At 38.2% G+C, this 20,619-nt stretch overlaps 1 long non-coding RNA gene across 2 annotated transcripts; it reads left to right on the top strand.

The window, feature by feature from the left end:
* The first annotated feature begins 347 nt into the window (after positions 1–347).
* Positions 348–19,431, top strand: LOC105370168 (uncharacterized). Of its 2 annotated transcripts, none has more exons than XR_001749842.2 (3): positions 348–683; positions 9,007–9,177; positions 12,021–19,431. It is a non-coding gene; the product is annotated as an uncharacterized LOC105370168 (long non-coding RNA). The 2 variants fall into 2 exon arrangements; XR_007063763.1 differs by having other exon boundaries at positions 9,007–12,548; positions 18,408–19,431.
* The last annotated feature ends 1,188 nt before the right edge of the window (positions 19,432–20,619 follow it).

Genomic DNA, 20,619 nt, shown 5'->3' with positions numbered 1-20,619 from the left:
ACTAAGAATTTTATAGCTACCTCCTCTTGCTATTGCAGTGAGCTCAAGTGTTGTAAGTGATGTGCACGTGTGGTCCTAGCTACTTGGGAGGAGGATCACTTCAACCCAGGAGGGCAAGGCTGCAGTGAGCAATGTTTATACCACTGCACCCTAGCCTGGGTGACAGAGCAAGACTCTGTCACCAAAACAAAAACAAAACCAAGAACAAACAAACAAAAGTGATCTTTTGTGGTTCTCACATATTTTTCATATTTTACACCTTGAATGACAACGTGGGACCTATACAAAGTGCCACTAGTTATGCTTGCAGTGCTCTAAAGAAGCAGAGAAAAGTCATGACATTACAAGAAAAAGTTTAATTGCTTGATACATATTGTAGATTGATCTGCAACTGTAGTTGCCACCATTTCAGATAGATAATTCATTCATCTTGTCGTCAACATAAACTTATGGTATCAATAAATACAGTACAATACTGTAAACATATGTTCTTTTCTTTAAGATTTTGTTAATAATTTTTTTCTCTTGCTTATTTTATAATAAGAACACAGCATGTGACACATGTAACATACACAATACGTTTTTTTTTTTTTTTCGAGACGGAGTCTCGCTGTCGCCCAGGCTGGAGTGTAGTGGCGCGATCTCGGCTCACAATATGTATTAATTGACAATTTATGTTACAGGTAAGGCTTCCAGTAAGCAGTAAGCTATTAGTAGTTATTTGGGGAGTCAAAAGATAAACTTAGATTTTGATTGTGCAGGGATTTGTGCCTCTAACCCGTGTGTTGTTCAAGGGTCAACTGTATTACAAAGATTAAAGATTTTGAAAAGTAGCAGCAACAGTTTCACAGCTAGTTCTGATTTTTCTCTCAGCATTCCATTTTCCTTCCAGTGTAAGGCAGCTTGCATCCCAAGACCTTTCTACATGAAGAGCTAGAGGCTAGGATTTAAAATATTGATTTTTGCTAAGTATAGCTCTTGCTTGAATGTGATAGGTTCTTTGGTTAATGTCTAATTAATGGCAAAGCACAGCTATATGGTTTAATGAAAAATATGTTTAAAATAATAAAAATGCAAGTGACTTCCTGACCTTCAGATATTGCTCTCAGAAATGAAAGCTATTTTATATCAATTTAAAACCACAGCAAAATGTACTTAAATAGACATTTTTAATATACTGCATCAACAATGTATTGTATTATATTTCAATATATTAAATATATTTTCCAAAAGAATCATTGACATTAGATGATCACCATTCTAGACACTTCTCTATGCATATATTCAGAGAGGATAGAGGCATAGATTCTTTTTTATTAAGCACTTACTGTATCCCAGCCACTATACTGAGCCCTGAGGACACAAATGATCAAGACTAAGTTCCTTCCTTCATGAAGCTTATCCTGGAGCGGGAGATAGAGAAAAGTACAATTTTTAAAATTAGGTAATTTCAGATAGGAAAAGTGATCTGAAGAAAATGCAAATGGATACAAGAATAGTTACGGTAGGAAAAATTTTTATTCATCACCAAAAGCTTCTCTGTGGGATCCCTTTCTCTTTTTTTAAAATTTTTTATTTTACTTTAAGTTCTGGGATAGATGTGCAGAACGTGCAGGTTTGTTGCACAGGTATACATGTGCCATGGTGGTTTGCTGCACCCATCAACCCGTCATTTAGGTTTTAAGCCCTGCATGCATTAGGTATTTGTCCTAATACTCTCCCTCCCCTTGCCCCCTACTCCCTGACAGGCCCCGATGTGTGATGTTCCACTCCCTGTGTCCATGACACATGCACACGCATGTTTATTGCAGCACTATTTACAATAGTAAAGACTGGGATCCTTTTCTTTTGGGCAAATACCTGAGTGAAGTAAGAGAGGGATCCATGAGAACACATAGAGGCAGAGCATTCCAGGCAGAGGGAGGAGCACGTGGGAGGGCTCTGCTGTGGGAATGAGCTTGGGCTATTTGAGGCACCTCACATGTTCCTCTCTGCCTGGACGGCACTACTTTCCCCCACCCCAGGGAGTTCCTACTCTTTTTTTAACACTAGCATTGGACAGATTGTTACAGTATCACAAATTCATTTTAAAATGCTTCAGTTTATCAAAGTGATATTATGTATGTGCCAGTTAGTTTATGCTTCCACTGTGGAATGGGGAGCTAACATGTCACCCAAACGCCCAGGCTAAGGGTGGTCAGTAGCTCTCCCTCCCCGGGGAAACTACTACAAGCCTGCTGTGGACTCTCTCGATCCATAAGTGATACCGCTTTACCATGATGAGTGTCAAGAAAAGCTGGTGACTTATTACCATGATGACTGTTAGAAATGAGCTTTCATTACAAAATTAACACTATTAATTATGTGGATTCACTAAAAGAGTTGAGCTCCACTCTCTGCACTAGCCTGAACAGGCTCTAAGTAAACAGCACATTTGTAACCTGTATTCTTAGGCATGGTGCCCTACGTACTCTCCAGTGGCCTTCTATCCAGCATTGGTTTAGGATGTGTTTTGACTGAATGGTGCAGAGAAAAAGCAATGGAATCCTGCTCTAGGAAGATTTTCCTGTCTTCCTGGAATGAAACTTTCAGAACTTCACCGACTTACAGGACATTTGTATGGATGTTTTGTATCTGCGTTGCTCAAGGGTGTTGTGTCTAATAAATTGTGGTTGAATTTGTTCTGAGGCTTTCTGAGCTGGTAGCAAGGGTGAGGGAGGGTGGCTAACCCTTCCCATCTCAGACTTTTTGGGTAGCTACATATATCTACCAAAAAGTACCTAAGAGTTGTACATGACTAAACTGACTTGGTTCAGTTTGCAACAAACAACTCAGGTTTTACTGCCTCGAAAAAGCGCTCCCCAGCACCTCTTTACATTTCTGTCTGTATCTTGGATGCTCCATTTCTGTGTTCTTATAATCCCTGTGGGTGTTTTTATCAATACAATGATCAGTTTTTCTACTGTATTGTGAGTTCGTTGAGGACAGGTACTATTCATGATTTATCTTTGTATCCTCAGCACAGAGGACTATAAATATTACTGAAAGAGACACTATCAGCTTTATACTATGTGCCAGGTACTGTAATGTGCTCTGGAGATAAAATAAACACATGGACATAATTGCTGTTCTCCTGGAGCCACAGTCTAGTGACAAGAACGAAATCCAAAATTTACTCATTTTTTAAAACTAATAAAGTGCTAGGAAGCAGATATGCAGATTGCCAAGAGCATATATAACAAGAGAGTGACTGAATCAAGGAATAAAAAAGAAAATTTCCTTGTAAAACATAAACTAAAATGTAGTTATTTATCATGACGTTTACTATCTAAGACTTTTATTTTTGGAAAAATAGGCTAAGATACTGAACATCTTGTTGAAAATACGAGATAAAGATCTCAGGAGCCTTACCTTTTTAGTCATTCAAATGTATCCCTTCTTAATCCCTCAACAAAAAGTTTACAAAGTGACTAATTCAGGCCGTGCATATATGAAGCCAAAACAAACAGACATGAAATGTTTCTAACCAGGTGTCTGGCATCATGGAAAAGGATTCCATCCATCAAATGCATGTTTAGTCTGAAAATGCCAGGGAATTGATTTGACTAGGACATAAGTTGACTTTTCCATGGCAAAGTTACCGATAGATGAGGAGACAGAATCATGGAATGTCATAATTGGAAGGGGTTTTAAGAATATGAATGACTTGGCCAGCTTTGAACTTGTACTTTTCTGAGACACCAAAGAAGGCCTTGGATTTCCTGATTAGCCTTCTCATCCTGTAGTTACCACTCAATATCACAGTGGCAGTCGTAGTCATTAGGTGGAGGAGGTACAATACAGCTGAGGGTGTAAAGAAGAAGAGCACAAATGAAGGGGTCTTGAAAATGGTCACTGCCATCTTGGGCAAAGGATCAAAGCCGTAGCTACACTGATCTATGATCATGGAACTAAAAATAATTTTTTCTTTATCTGTTTTAGAAAACAGATCTACCAAGTTTTCTGTAATGAGAATATCATAGTGATAATAGCTAATATTTATTAAGATTCCATAGTGGACCAAAATTATGCTATTCATTTAATCATCAAAACAGGCGTATAGGCCAGGCATGGTGGCTCATGCCTGTATCCTATAATTTGGGAGGCCAAGGCAGGAGAATCACTTGAGGTCAGGAGTTTGAGACCAGCCTGGGCAACGTAGTGGGACCCCATTTTTTTTGTTTGTTTGTTTTCAACTTTAATTTTAATTTCATGGGTACATGTGCAGGATGCGCAAGTTTGTTACATAGGTAAATGTGTGCCATGGTGGTTTGCTGCACAGATCATCCCATCATCTAAGTATTAAGTCCAGCATCCATTAGCTATTCTTTCTGATGCTCTCCCTCCCCCGCCCCCTCGACAGGCTCCAGTGTGTGTTGTTCCCCGCATCTGTCCATGTGCTCTCATCATTCACTACCACTTAGAAGTGAGAACATGCGGTGTTTGGTTTCCTGTCGCTGTGTTAGTTTGCTGAGGATAATGGCTTCCAACTTCATCCATGTCCCTGCAAAGGCCATGATCTCATGCCTTTTATGGCTGCATAGTATTCCACGATGTATATGAACCACATTTTCTTTATCCAGTCTATCATTGATGGGTATCTAGATTCATTCTATGTCTTTGCTATTGTGAATAGTGCTATAGTGAACATATAGAATGATTTATATTACTTTGGGTATATACCCAGTAATAGGATTGCTGGGTCAGGTGGTATTTCTGCCTCTAGGTCATTGAAGGATTGCCACACTGTCTTCCACAATGGTTGAACTAATTACACTCCCTTCAACAGTGTAAAAGCACTCCTTTTTCTCTGCAACCTTGCCAGCATCTGTTGGTTTTTGACTTTTTTAATAATAGTCATTCTGACTGGCATAAGATGGTATTTCATTGTGATTTCAATTTGCATTTTTCTAATGATCAGTGATATTGAGTTTTCTTCATATGTTTGTTGGCCACACGTATGTTTTCTTTTGAGAACTGTCTTTTCAACGACTTTTTGTTTGTTTTTTTCCTGTAAATTTGTTTAAGTTCCTTGTACACTCTCGATATTAGACCTTTGTCAGATGGATAGATTGCAAAAATTTTCTTCCATTCTGTAGGTTGTCTATTGACTCTGATGATAGTTTTTTTTTGTTGTACAGAAGCTGTTTAATTAGATCATATTTGTCAATTTTTGCTTTTGTTGTGATTGCTTTTGGCATTTTTTGTCATGAAATCTTTGCCTGTGCCTATGTTCTCAATGATATCACCTAGATTTTCTTCCAGGGATTTTATAGTTTGGGGTTTTACATTTAAATTTTAATCCATCATGAGTTAATTTTTGTATATGGTGTAAGGAAGGGCTCCAATTTCAATTTTCTGCATATGACTAGCCAGTTCTCTGGGCACCACTTATTAAATAGGGAATCCTTTCCCCATTGCTTGTTTTTGTCAGGTTTGTCAAAGATCAGATGGTTGTAGGTGTGGTCTTGTTTTTGAATTCTCTATTCTGTTCCATTGGTCTATGTGTCTGTTCTTGTACCAGTACCATGCTGTTTTGGTTACTGTAGGCTTGTAGTATAGTTTGAAGTTGGGTAGCATGATGCCTCCAGCTTTGTTCTTTTTGCTTAGGATTGTCTTGGTTATTCAGGCTCTGTTTTGGTTCCATATGAATTTTAAAATAGGGTTTTTTTTCTAATTATGTGAATAATGTCAATGGTAGTTTAATGGTAATAGCATTGAATCTATAAATTACTTTGGGCAGTATGGCCATTTTCACAATACTGATTTTTCCTATCCATGAGCATGGAATGTTTTTCCATTTGTTTGTATCCTCTCTGATTTCTTTGAGCAGTGGTTTGTAGTTGTCCTTGAAGAGGTCCTTCACTTTCCTTGTTAGCTATATTCCTTGGTATTTTATTCTTTGTAGCAATTGTGAATGGGAGTTCATTCATGATTTGGCTCTCTGTTTGCCTGTTGTTGATGTATATGAATGCTAGCAATTTTTGCACACTGATTTTGTATTCTGTGACTTTGCTGCAGTTGCTTATCAGCTTAAGAAGCTTTTGGGCTGAGAAGATGGAGCTTTCTAGTCATAAGATCATGTCATCTGCAAACAGAGATAATTTGACTTCCTATTTGAATACGCTTTATTTCTTTCTCTTGCTGATTGCCCTGGCCAGAATTTCCAAAACTATGTTGAATAGGAGTGGTGAGAGAGGGCATCCTTGTCTAGTGCCAGTTTTTAAGGGAGTGCTTCCAGCTTTTGCCCATTTAGTATATTGGCTGTGGGTTTGTCATATATGGCTCTTACATATTTTGAGGTATATCCCTTCAATACCTAGTTTATGGAAAGTCTTTAACATGCAGGAATGTTGAATTTTATCAAAGGCCTTTTTTGTATCTATTGAGATAATCATGTGGTTTTTGTCTTGAGCTCTGTTTAAGTAATAAATCACATTTATTGATTTTTTTGTCTTTAGTTCTGTTTAAGTAATGAATCACATTTATTGATCACAGTGAGGTTGTGTTGAACCAACCTTGCATCCCAGGTATGAAACCAACTTGATTGAGGTGAATAAGCTTTTTGATGTGCTGCTGGATTTAGTTTGCCAGTATTTTATTGAGGATTTTTGTACCTATGTACATCAAAGATATTGGCTTGAAGTTTTCTTTTTTTGTTGTACCTTGGTCAGGTTTTGGTATCAGGATGATGCTGGCTTCATAGAATGAGTTAGGCAGGAGTGCCTCCTTTTCAATTTTTTGGAATAGTTTCAGTATCAACGATACCAGCCCTACTTTGTCACCTCTTGTAGAATTCAGCTGAAAATCTGTCCTGGGACACCACTTCTTAAGAAAAAAAAAAAAGAAAAGAAAGAAAGAAAGAAAAGAAAAGAAAAATTAGCCAGGCATGGTCATCCACACCTGTTGTCTCATTTACTTGGGAAGCCTAGGTGAGAGGATCACTTGAGGCCAGACTGGGCAACATTGTGAGACCTCATTTCTACCAAAAAAAAAAAAAAAAAGCCAGGCATATTGGTGTGCACCTTTGGTCCCAGCTACTCAGGAGGCTGATGTAGGAGGATTGCTAGAGCTCATGAGAGTTTGAGGCTGCAGTGAGCCATGATCACACCACTGCATTCCAGCACAGGTGACAGAGGGAGCCCATGTCTCTCTCTATGTAAATGTAAAAATATTTACATATTTGCATATATGTAAATATGTAAATATAAATATATTTACATATTTGCATATATGTAAATATGTAAATATAAATATATTTACATATATAAAATATATAAATAAAATTTAAAAGTTATATAAAATAAAATGATGTTATTATCCTAATTTAATAGATGAATCTTGGTTAAAGCTGAGAAAAAAGAAAGCCCCAAGCTATATAATTCTTGAATAATAGAACTTGGATCTGAATCCATTTCTGTAGTTAAGCTTAAGTCACAACCACTATATACTGTTCTAAAAAGTCAAAGTAACTTAGTTTAAAAAATACTTTGCAGTATAAGTTTTGACAAAACTTACTTTAAGCAAAAGCATTTATGACGTAAATTTGTTCTCATTCGGTAGAGTGGCATCTTAAGTTGTCACCACAGTTATGGAAACCCTTGGAGCTGTCCAAATTTATTTGTTTATCTCTTAAAGACAGAAGGGTTGTATGGTCCCCAAAATGTAGGAAAAATGTACAATGTAGGAGAAAATGTAAAATCTCATCTGGCTCAAAATTCTTTATCATGCTGATAGAAAACACATATGCATCTTAGGAGTCTATCAAATTCAAAGCTCTTTAGATTTTGACAGAAAATACCTGTACATTTCTTCAGAACCAAGGACATGTAAAATTGAATCAAGTAATCTGAGTAAGAGTCACTGAGTTGACTGAGACTAGATACTGTGAGCAACAAAACTTATACTCTTTCCAGATCTGAAGCCATGACATGATAACTACAAAAGGCAGCTCCATAAACTTTCCCAGTCTAAAAAGACCTATGTATTGTATCTTTACTCAGTTCACAAAATAATTTTACCAGCAGCGCAGAAACCTCCCATATCCCTTTCCAATCACTTCCCCATCATTATTAGTTTTGTCTGTTTTTATACTTTATGTAAATAGCATCTGATATGGTTTGGCTTTGTCCCCACCCAAATCTCATCTTGAACTGTAGTCCCATAATTCCCATGTGTTGTGGGGGGGACCTGGTGGGAGATAACTGAATCATGAGGGCAGTTTCCCCCATACTGTTCTCATGGTAGTGAATAAGTCTCATGAGATCTGATGGTTTTATAAGGGGAAACCCTTTTCATTTGGTTTTTATTCTCTCTTGTCTGCCACCATGTAAGATGTGCCTTTTGCCTTCCACCATGATTGTGAGGCCTCCTCAGCCATGTGGAACTGTGAGTCCATTAAAACTATTTTTCATTATAAATCACCTAGTCTCAGGTATGTCTTCATCAGCAGCATGAAAATAGACTAATATAGCATCATACAGTATACTACTTGGAGAATAGCTTCTTTCAATCAAACTTACATTTATAAGATTTGTCCATGTGGTGGGTGACTGTTTATTTTTATTCCTGAATTCCAAAATTTATCTATCTATTCTATGGTTGAGGACACTGGAGCAGTATTGGCCTGAGCATTCCAGCACTTGTATCTCAGTGAGTTTATATACGCATTTCTATTGACTATATATTACAGTAGTGGACTTACTAAGTCATGGAATGTGCATGCAGTCATCTTTAATAGAAACTACCAAACACATCTGCAAGGTCATTCTACCAACATACAATCCTATTAGCAGTGTGTGAGAGTTACAGTTATTCTACATAGATTTTTGATACTTTCCATCTTTCTCATTTTAACTATGCTGGTGAGTGTGTTGTGGCACCTTGTTGCATTTTATGTACCTGTTTCTGAAGTCTACAGTCAGGAGCATTTTTTATTTATTAATCATTTGGATATACTTTTTTAAGAGATGGAGGTCTCACGATGTTACCCAGGCTGGAGAGCAGTGGCTACTCACAGGCGGGAATCCCAAGATGGCCTCCAACTCCTGGACTCATGCTATCTCACCTCAGCTTCCTGAGTAGCTGAGACTACAGGCACACACCACCATGTCCAGCTTCAATATCCTTTTATGTAAGGTAACTGCTCAAGTCTTTTGCCCATTTTAACATTTTAAACTGTTTGACTTTTTCTTACTGATTATCTTCTATGTATTCTGGGGTATATTCTCGACATATTCTTTTGTTGGATATGTATTGCAAAATATACTTTCCCACTCTGTAGATTCCATTCTTTACTCACTATTACATTTTTTATAAGTGTAAATTCTTAGTTTTAACGTTTTTCAATTTATCAATTTTTTTTTTCATATTCTGTTCAGTGTGTTTTGTTCTGTATCCTGTTTAAGAAATCTTTACTTACTCCAAATTTGACAAGATATCTTAACTAGTTTTGCAAATGTTTTAAATTATAAAACAAAAACTCTTCATTATAGAAAATGTGTATGATTTAGAAAAGTCCAAAGAAGAAATAGAAAAGTCCAAAGAAGAAAATAAAAATCAATAGCACTCTCACCACCAGGAAGGCAGTCACCATTATCCTTTTTTTTTTTTTTTTTTGAGATGGAGTTTTGCTCTTGTTATCCAGGCTGAAGTGCAATGGCATAATCTCGGTTCACTGCAACCTCTACCTTCTGGGTTCAAGTGATTCTCCTGCCTCAGCCTCCCAAGTAGCTGGGATTACAGGCACCTGCCACCATGCCCAGCTAATTTTTTGTATTTTTAGTAGAGACAGGGTTTCTCCATGTTGGCCAGGCTGGTCTCAAACTCTTGACCTCAGGTAGTCCACCCTCCTCGGCCTCCCAGAGTGCTAGGATTACAGGCGTGAGCCACCGTGCCCAACCAATTATCATTTTAGTTTTAGTCTTTGGTGCGTGTGTGTGTATGTGTGTGTTACATAATGGGGACCATGTACATACTCACTTTTGTATCAAGCTCTTTTTTTTTAACCATTCACCTATATTATTTAAAACTCTTCAAAGGCCTCTTATTTTTAGTGATTATGTATTCTGTTAAGATTTCAGAACATATAAAGAGGCCATTATAAATACTGTATATATGATGTGTAATTCTTTATTATTCTAAATCGTGAGATGAGTATTTATGTACATATATTTTGAACTACACCTACCAAATATCTATTAAAAATTAATAAATCTGAGATCTAAATATTTGGTTCCTTGATGTCTATTGTAAAATGCCTTTGGAAAAGTTTTATCAATTTGCCAGTCCATCAATATTTAATGAGAGTACCCAATTCATTGTGCTCTTGTCAGCATAATGAAATACACAGCAAAACAGTATAACCAGACCTGTGGAAATTTGATGCCAAAAATGAAAAGATTTTAATTTACATTTCTTTGATTTTAAAAGGTTGTATATTTTTCAAATGTTTATTGACCATCTGTATTTCTTATTTTGTAACTTATGTCTCTATGCTTTCTTCATTAACTTTTTAGAGTTACAACTTGGTATTTAGGATTCCAACTAATATATAATAACAACATACATTTCCTTGCATATAGATTTATAAGTTTAGATACATAAGAAATATGAGAAGCTATTGAAATTACAGGAGTGAGTGGCTAAGGAGATTTTCAAGCTTACATGAAATATTTTAATTGTCTATGTATTTAACTAATTAAAAATTGATTGTTCAAAGGAATATTCTAGTTCATTGTATGACTTCAGCTGCTAGTTTGGCTTCTGTAAGTTATGAATGGCTCTTTGTTCTTTAGTAGCAATAACTGCAGAGTTCAGCAACCTTCCCCCCATCTGACTAAAACATTGTAGCTCAAGGAGGTCTGCGAGGTTTCATCTCGTGGGCCATCTCCAGCTGATTTTTCATGCCTACCTGTAGAAGAGCGTTGACTATAATTTTGGAACTGATTTATCAGTGCTGATTGTCATGGAGATGGGGGTTGGGAGAGCAGAGGGACATCATAAATGCCAACCAGTGACCATTTCTGCTTTAGATACTTAGACTTTATAATTGTATTACACTATTTTAAATGATCCCAGGGCCAGGGAGAAGAGGTTGATAGTTTAGCACCTAAGACTAATTTTTAAATAAGAAACCTATTTTATACTGTCAAAAACAAAACTGGAAATATTTGCTATTAAGCTATTAAATGATATGTGTATGTAATAATCAGTTGATTGTCTGCGTTGTCTAGTTTTGAGATACTCTCCCTTAGTAAGTCAGTCTCTCCCTGAAACCCAGGATGTCATTATTTTGTTATATGGTGACAGTTGCTAAATTGTTTCTATCAGGTAATATGTGTGTCATTAGCTAAGCTATTTCACAAGGTTATTCTTTCTAAGATGAAGAGGGTGTATTATACCTAGGGATATTCATTTTAAGGACTTCAAGGCTATGGTCTCTACTGAACCATGTAGGTAAAAGGAGACATCTGAAGACACAGGACCCAAGCCCTGATAATTTGGAGTTGCTTTTGAACTTCTTTATGCATCTTAAAATGCTGCCAGGGGACACTGACTTTGAAGAGTCAGCTAAATGGTGAACAATAATCTTTGAAGTCCTAAAAGGGCAGGGAGAAGAGGATAAGACACAGCAGATGATTTAGCAGAAAGGGCAAATTGTCCTAGGCTTTAACAGCAGCAAATGCTGTCTGGCCAGTTTTGAATAATTATTACTAAGACCACCCCAGACTCCAGAGCTCTGCTGTATTAATTCTTGATTTAAGTCCCTGTTGCAACTGTTGACTGGCCAAACTTTACCTCAGGCTCTCAGCTACATCATCAAAATCATCGTTATCCAAATCATAGTTGTAATTTCATTGAACACTTCACAAGAGCTCAAAAATCTTAGGTGCTATAATTATTCTTAAGTTTCAGGCTCTGTGCTAATCAATTTAAATGTATCATATCGTTTATTAACATGGTCCCTTCCAACTTTACAGATGATGGAACTGAGCTCATTGATGTGAGGTGACTTGTTGAATGTCATGCGGCTGCAAATCATGAGGCTGGCATCTGAGCTCGGTTCTGAGTGCAGGGACCACATGCTCTGTCTATATGTTACACTCTCCAACCGCAACTCCAACCTGCCACCCACTCCTGATGAGCCTCTCCGTCTGCATGACCATGTGCCCTGCTGTGGTAGGCAGAATAACAAACACCCACAGGCACCCACATCCTAATCCCCAGAACCTGTGAATATGTTATGTTACATGGCAACAGGGAATTCAGGTGGCAGGTGGAAATATGTTTGCGAACCAGTCGATCGTGAGATAGGGGCATTATCCTGCGTTATCAGGGTGGGTCCAGGGTGATCACAGGAAGAAGGAGGCAGAGGACAGAGTCAGAAAATGTATGATGACAGAAGCAGTGATTTTATGTGAGAAAGACTCAACTTGCCATGCTGGCTTTGAAGAATGAGGAAGGAGCCACGAGCCAAGGAATGCCGGCAAATTCTAGAACTGGAAAAGGTAAGAAAACAGATTCTCTCTGTGAGGGTTAATTTTGTGTGTCAACATGATTGAGGCCATGAGGTGCACAGATTAAATATTATTTCCAGGCATGTCTGTGAGGGTGTTTCCAGATGAGATTAGCATTTATTTAAATCGGTGGACTCAGTAAAGTAGATGGCCCTCCTCAGTGTGAGTGGCCCTCATCCAATCCTTTGAGGGCCTGAGTAGAACAAAAATCAGAGGAAGGAAGGATTTGCTGGCTCTGCTTTGCTGCTTGAGCAGACATGCCGTCTTCCGCCCTTGGAATGAGATTTACAACATTGGCACCCTGGCTCTCAGGTCTCTGCACTTGGTCTGGAATCACGTTATTGGCTTTCCTGGGTCTCCAGCTTGCAGACAGCAGATTGTGAGACTCTTCAGCCTCCATACTTGTGTGAGCCAATTTTTCACTACATATATATTTCCTCTTGGTTCTGTTTTTCTGGAAAACCTTGACTAATACACTCTACTGCAGCATCCAAAAAAGAAATGTAGCCTTTTTGATATCTTGATTTTAACATAATGAGACTCATTTTGATATCTGACCTCCAGAACTGAAAGATAGTAAATTTGTATTGCCTAAGCAACTAAGTTTGTGGCAATTTGCTATAGCAGCCATAGAAATTTATTACACCTGCTATGACAGAAGGAAGACCTGAGTTAGTAGTGGCCCTGGACCAAACCAGGGAACACTGGCAAGAGCAGCCAAGCAAGACCCTCTGCAAACAGACAAAGCATGCAGCCAAACACAGGTGTAAAACAAGAGATCAGTTATTTCCTCTCATATGCCAAGCACTGTGGGGCAGGAGGTGGAGAAACATGTTACAAGTACAAAACTAAGCAGGAACATGGCAAGGGGTGAGACAGCCTGGTACACAGGACATCTGCCATGTCAAATAATAACTGCCATTTTGTCTAAATTATAAAAATGTTGAATGATTTCTTACACTTAACTGACTTTTAAATATTTATTCTATTTAACTCAAAATTAAATAAGTTTTGACAATTAGATAAAGACATAGGGATGTTCATTTGTTTGCCATTATTACTAATTCATTCATCTTCAAAAACAATCTAAACTAAATGTTATCTAATTCCAATTATATTCAAGGACTTTCAAAATTTATAAGGAAGGATGAGGATGCATATTCAGATATACAGTGATGAGACCACTCTGTATGGATTTGGGTTTTTAAGACTAGGTCATCATAGAGACTTAAGTGTGAATTCTCATTTTGCTCCTTCATATTTAAATGAGCCAAGATGAGTTACTTCTCCTCGATGACGCTCAATTACTTTTGGCTATAAAATAAAAATAACAATATCTACCCTAGAGAATTGTTGTAAAGATTAAATTGGACAGTGTGTGTGTGTGTGTGTGTGTGTGTGTGTGTGTGTATTTGAAGCACAGATGATTGTATTATATAAAATAGAGATACTAAAATCTACTTTGCAGTGTTGTTAAAAAAGTTAGAGTTGTTGTCTTAGAAATGCCTGACATTAGAAAAAAGAGCCCTTGTACACTGTTGGTGGGAATGTAAATTAGTACAGCCATGATGGAAAACAGTGTGAAGGTTCCTTGGAAAATTAAAAATAGAGCTATCATATGATCCAGCAATCCCACTGTTAAATATATATATATCCAAAAGAAATGAAATCAGTGTGTTAAGGAGTTAATCTCCACTTCCATGTTCATTGAAGCATTTTTCGCAATAGCCAAGATACAGAATCAACATAGGTGTCCCTTAGCAGATAAATGGATTAAGAAAATGTGGTGTATATATACACAATGGAATACTATTCACCCTTTAAAAAGAAGAAAATCCTGTCATTTGTGACAACATAGATGAGACCGGAGGACAATATGTTAAGTGATATAAAACAGGCACAGAAAGATAAATACTGCCTGATCTCACCTTTATGTGCAATCTAAACAACTTGAGCCCATAGAAACAGAAAGTAAAATGGCAGTTACCAGAGGCTGGGAGAGGAGGGAATTGGGGAGATGTTGGTCAAAGGACATAAAATTTCAGTTAGACAGGAGGAAAAAGTTTGAGAGATCTATTGTACATCATGGTGGCTACAGGTAATAACAATACATTGACTACCTGAAAATTACTAAAAGAGTAGAGTTTAAGTATTTTCACCACAAAGAAAGATAAGCATGTGAGGTAATGCCTATGCTAGTTAGCTTGATTTAGCCATTCCACAACACATAAATACATGAAAACATCATATTTTGCACCATAAAATTATACAATTTTTACTTGTCAATTAAAAAAAAGAAATTTGAAAGAGGAAATGCTTGACATTATACCTTGCATATAACTGAGTCTCAACGGTAGTTATCACCACTAGGGCCACTGCCACTTTCATTACTATCCAACTCTTGTGGTCACCAAGGGGCAAAGAGAATCATAAAGAAAACTCTAACCCCACCCTTGTGGGGTTAGAGTTTTTGAGAAAGGAGCTGAAGACTAGGGTTTTTCCTACTCCTTCAAGATCTTGTTTGTGTCCTGATTTTGGGGTATAAAATTGGATTGAATTTACTTTCTGTTTAAAAGATGATCTTGACCTTGGAGGACTGAAGTTTTAGGAGAAACAAAGCAAACATAAAGCTGGTTGCTTAAGCTTGGTTTTTAGAAAAAATAAAGGGAGATCTTTGGGTTCACCAGAATTGGAAACAGAAATAGTACATTTTCATGTTGACTTTCCTTCCTAAGCAATGTACCTGAGATGTGATGCTCAAACAGGTTATAGTGACGCCTGGGCTATTGGCCTTATGATCAAAGTTAGTTTTCACAAAGAAGCAATTAACTCAACACTAGCTATATATGCTTTCCCAATCATACAAAATATAACTTTTAAAACCACAGCATAACAATAAATTAGAGTTGACAAAACTATTTAAGGGGATAAAAAATTTTACATGAAGATGAGTAGTAATCTTAATCTAAAAGATCTTTCTCTGATCTGATTTTCCGTAAAACAAGTCTCTCCATCCCAACACTTGATTTGGGGAGAATAGTCTCTCTCACTGAGGCCTTGAGGCAGTTCCATCACCCCTTTTTCTGTTGCAGGATTTAATCAAGATCCTTGGTTACTAATGGGTTTCCTTGGTTTGAAGACTAGTGCAGTGTAATTATAGTCTCATTCCACACGATTTGTCTGAAGAGAGAAGTTATCAGCGTAGACAGTTTCCTTTCATCCTGAAGAAGTTATATTAATCACTAGCAGGCATCCTGCTATTGTTTGCTAATCCATCACTAGCATCTATATAAAATTTATCTTTTTACTAAAAGTGCTAAAAGAAATCCCAGTTTATTCTCAAAACTGTTTTTAATATTTTTTAAAGTTTCTTTATGTGACATATTTCATTTCTTTATACCTGCCTTGTTCCACAGAGGACTTAAGCTGAAAAGTTTCTATGGTTCCCCTATTATTTCTCTGACTATTCTTTCTCAATTTTTTTTCAATGCTGATGTTTCCCAAAAGCGAATTTCTTCTCTGTGCTCAAGGAGCTCACAGCTGGTGGACAAGATGTGTGGCAGTGTCATACTGATACCATATTAGGATGAACGCAAGATGATGCAGGCAGAGAGTAAACGCAGAGTGAACAGCAATGAGCACCGCCTGGAGGGGTCTCAGAGGGCTTCACAAGGACCTAACACTTGAATTGGGTCTTGAAATTGGAGTGAGAGTTTGGTGGACGAGGGTTTCAGAAAAGGCACTCCAGGTCGAAGAAGAACACAAATAAGGCTCTGCATCCAGGAAGGGTCAGATGAGTGGAGACATATTTTGAGGCTGGGGAGTCAGGACAGTGACAATGAATGAGACAAAACTGGAAACAAGAAGAGCCAGATTTTTTTTTTTCTTTAGACAGAGTCTTGCTCTGTTGCTCAGGCTGGAGTGCAATGGTGTGATCTCGGCTCACTGCAACCTCCGCCTCCTGGGTTCAAGCAATTCTCCTGTCTTAGCCTTCCAAGTAACTGGGACTACAGGCACATGCCACCACGCCCGGCTAATTTTTGTATTTTAGTAGAGATGGGGTTTCTCCATGTTGGTCAGGCTGGTCTCGAACTCCTGACCTCAGGTGACCTGCCCACCTCGGCCTCCCAAAGTGGTGGGATTACAGGCGTGAGCCACCACACCCAGTCAGGAAGAGCTAGATTTTAAAGGACTCTATATTATCTGAGAAATTTTTGGATTTTAATCCTGTAAATACTTTGAGGAAATGAAAATGTACTATGGGACCCAGTTGAACCTAAGAGATAAGGTATGCGAAGCCCTTGATGGAAGTCCTCTTAAGACTTACTTGATTTGATTAAAATTCATGGGAGCTAAGGAAACTTCTGAGAAAATATCTCAAATAATGACAACTATTGGGTTCTAGACATCTACAGGAATGCCTAACACACTGGAGACAACCAGTGGAAGCTAACCACAGAAGGTGCAGGGATGCCTGACAGAGAATCCACCCCAAGAGAAGAAAGATTTGGTTCTCTGAGTCCAACTAGTAACAGAATGAGAGAATGGGAGAGAAGTGGTTCCAGGTATATGATAAATGTATCCCTGACCTGGCCACCCTAAAGGGGTGCACAGGCCCTCTAGAGGTAGAAGATAGAGTACAAACACTGTGTGAAAAGCCAACAAAATGTTAAAACATCAGAAAACAAGCATAGGACCCTATGACAGAGCCTAACATTCATCACAGGAATTCACTTTCCAATACATATCACAGCAAAGAAATGTATGAGTAATTCTGAGCCAATGATGGCAGACCAGGCATTATGGGTGGTGGCCCAAGTGGAATGATGAGACAGTGCCCGGACAGTGGTCTGGGAGCAGTTGTGCCTGGGGCAATAGAGGTATGTTGGTTGTGAAAAGTCTGGTGTTGTAGGTGGTAGCCCAAAAGATGAACCACATGATGCACATGTGTAATGTAACATTTCCAGGCACTCACAGAAAACAAGAAGAGAAAGAGCCTTTTTAAGCTTGCAATATTTGGGTGTATACTATTAATGCAACTTCACTAGCTCAATGGATTGCTAAGGTTACAGGTAGACTATACCTCTTTATAAGAAGGTGAGTGACATGCTGTGGTTTACATTTTAGAAGTGTCATTCCAGGAGGTGGAATAAAAGATGCTTCAGAGAGGACAGGAATAGTAGAAAATTAATTAGGATATTTATAGTATGTCCACATTGAAGATAATAAGGGATTGATCAAAGGCAGCAAAAGTTAAAAGAAAAGGAATGGAGTTTGAGAGAGATTTTGGAAGTAGGATTCATTGGAGTTGGTGACACAGGAGAGGAGGGAAGAGAGAGAAGTTAAAGAACTACCCAGATGTCTGGAAATCCACTATCTGGTGATAGGGAATTCAGGAGAGGCAGCAGATTTCCAGGGAGACCTTGTCTTCCAAGAGAATGTGAGCTGTGAATGTGTAGGGACATCAGGCCACATTTGAAGAGACCAGAGCCTGGCACTGCTGACTTCAGCACTGACCCCATTCTCTCCATTGCCTTAATGGCTTAAGGGTACAGAGAGTACTTAAGCATTTTGGGATCTCTTTCAACATGGAACATTGAGACATTCTCTTAACAACTTCTTGTTTTGTTTTTTTCATCTTTGATATAATAATAATGTTCTTGGATGAAAATTTGTGAGCTAATGCTTACCAATCCCTTTGAGAACTTTGGCTGAAGGCCCAGTATAAATGACTTTATGAAGTATTCATGAATACTTCCAGCTTGCATGTTTAGCCTGAAAAGATAAAAAAGAACTACCTTTCTTTGAAAAGATATCTTCCTCATATGTTTGTTTTTTACTGATTGACAGGTAAGAAAATTGTGAGAGGAGGAAGAAAGGAAGCAAGAGGGAATGAATAACACTGGAAATGCTACTAGGATAAGTATTTCTTCAGGCATGGGCTTCAGAAATCTAGGGATCAAAATCATGCAAAGACATCATCTGGGCTTGTTCCAGGGAGGCAGGATTCCATTCCTCACTATCAACATAATTCATGGTTTCTGTTGGCTCTTGCCCATGGAGGAGAGGATCAGGCCCAAGCTTTGAGTACATATAGAGGCTGACAATGCTCCGACAGGGACAGAATACTGGGTAGTAATCAGAGCCCACCCCTAACTTTCAGGAGGCAGAAATGGACAGCCTTGGGCCCCTGAAAGTGACAGGCAACAGGGCTGCCTGGTGCTGAGCACTTTTAAAAATAAGAAGTGGCTCAATTAATCGATAAAAAATGGTACACATAAGCCATGAAAACAGGGACCCACAAGCCAAAGACTGGACCATCTACATGAGCTGCTTAAACTTGTAATGGGGCTGAGAAGGTCATTCCCCCAAAATGTGGTGGTTTGAGATGTTAAACTGAAGAAGAAACATCAAGGTCTCTCTCACCTCCCCACTTCTTGCCTCTCAATCCTTTCTCTCTCCTAAAGTGCAGCATAAAGTTGTTCCCTGAAGTTCCCTCATCTGCCTAAAGTCCAGACCCATCAAAGATGAAAACAATGATCCCTGGTTCCTTCCCTGGGTTTTCATTAACTAAACTCCTCTTACAGGAAGAAAGATTAAAGTCTGTTAACACACCCAGACAAACTTTTGTCACAAACCGTCGTCTGCTCAATGGGCCCAACAGATCATTGTCCCAGATCATTGTATGTTTTTTAAGCCCATTGAATTGCCCTAAACATTATTTACTACTGTGCTGAAATAATCCACAATTTCCCATTTCCATTTTCTCTAAGGAGAAGTGTATAGAAGCATCTGTACCCCATTGTGTGATGAGGTAATCACTGTGGTTCACCCTGTGGATGTTAATAAATTTGTGTGCCTTTTCTACTATTAATCTGCTTTTTGTCAATTGATTTTCAGCAAACCTTCAGAGGGTGAAGGGGACATTTTCCCTTGGCCCCTACACCTGCATGTTGTTTGCGCTTCATTTCTCCATTATCGTTCATTTTAATAGGAGAAACAGAGAATGGGGCCTGAGTTTTGTCCTTCTCTTTGATCTGCTTGTGCATTTCTCCCTTCAGTTATTTTTGGTCTTTGTCTAACATTCTGACCTCTCAGACTTTGTTTAAAGGCAGCCTTCTGCGTTGATCTCACTGGGAGCTGCAGACTGAAACTGGCAGAGACAACAAAACAAGAAAATTTCAGGCCAATATCCCGAATGAACATTGATGTGAAAATCCTCAATAAAATACTGGCAAACTGAATCCAGCAGCACATCAAAAAGCTTATCCACCATGATCAAGTTGGCTTCCTCCCTGGGATGCAAGACTGGTTCAACATATGCAAATCAATAAACGTAATCCATCACATAAACAGAGTCAATGACAAAAACCACATAATTATCTCAATAGATGCAGAAAAGGCCTTCAATAAAATTCAACACCCCTTCATGCTAAAAACTCTCAATAAACTAGGTATTGATGGAACATATCTCAAAATAATAAGAGCTATTTATGACAAACCCACAGCCAATATCATACTGAATGGGCAAAAGCTGGAAGCATTCCCTTTGAAAACCAGCACAAGACAAGATGCCCTCTCTCACCACTCCTATTCAACATAGTATTGGAAGTTCTGGCCAGGGCAATCAGGCAAGAGAAAGAAATAAAGCATATTCAAATAGGAAGAGAGGAAGTCAAACTGTCTCTGTTTGCAGATGACATGATTGTATATTTAGAAAACCCCATCATCTCAGCCAAAAATCTCCTTGAGCTGATAAGAAACTTCAGCAAAGTCTCAGGATACAAAATCAATGTGCAAAAATCACAAGCATTCCTACACACCAATAACAGACAAACAGAGAGCCAAATCATGAGTGAACTCCCATTCACAATTGCTACAAAGAGAATAAAATGCCTAGGAATACAACTTACAAGGGATGTTAAGGACCTCTTGAAGCAGAACTACAAACCACTGCTCAAGGAAATAAGAGATGGCACAAACAAATGGAAAAAACATTCCATGCTTATGAATAGGAAGAATCAATATTGTGAAAATGGCCTTACTGGTGAAAGTGATTTAT

Source organism: Homo sapiens, chromosome 13 (genome assembly GCF_000001405.40).
Source record: "Homo sapiens chromosome 13, GRCh38.p14 Primary Assembly".
Classification (NCBI taxonomy): domain Eukaryota; kingdom Metazoa; phylum Chordata; class Mammalia; order Primates; family Hominidae; genus Homo; species Homo sapiens.
The sequence above is the reverse complement of the archived record's forward strand: the minus strand, read 5'-3'. Positions and strand labels throughout refer to the sequence as shown.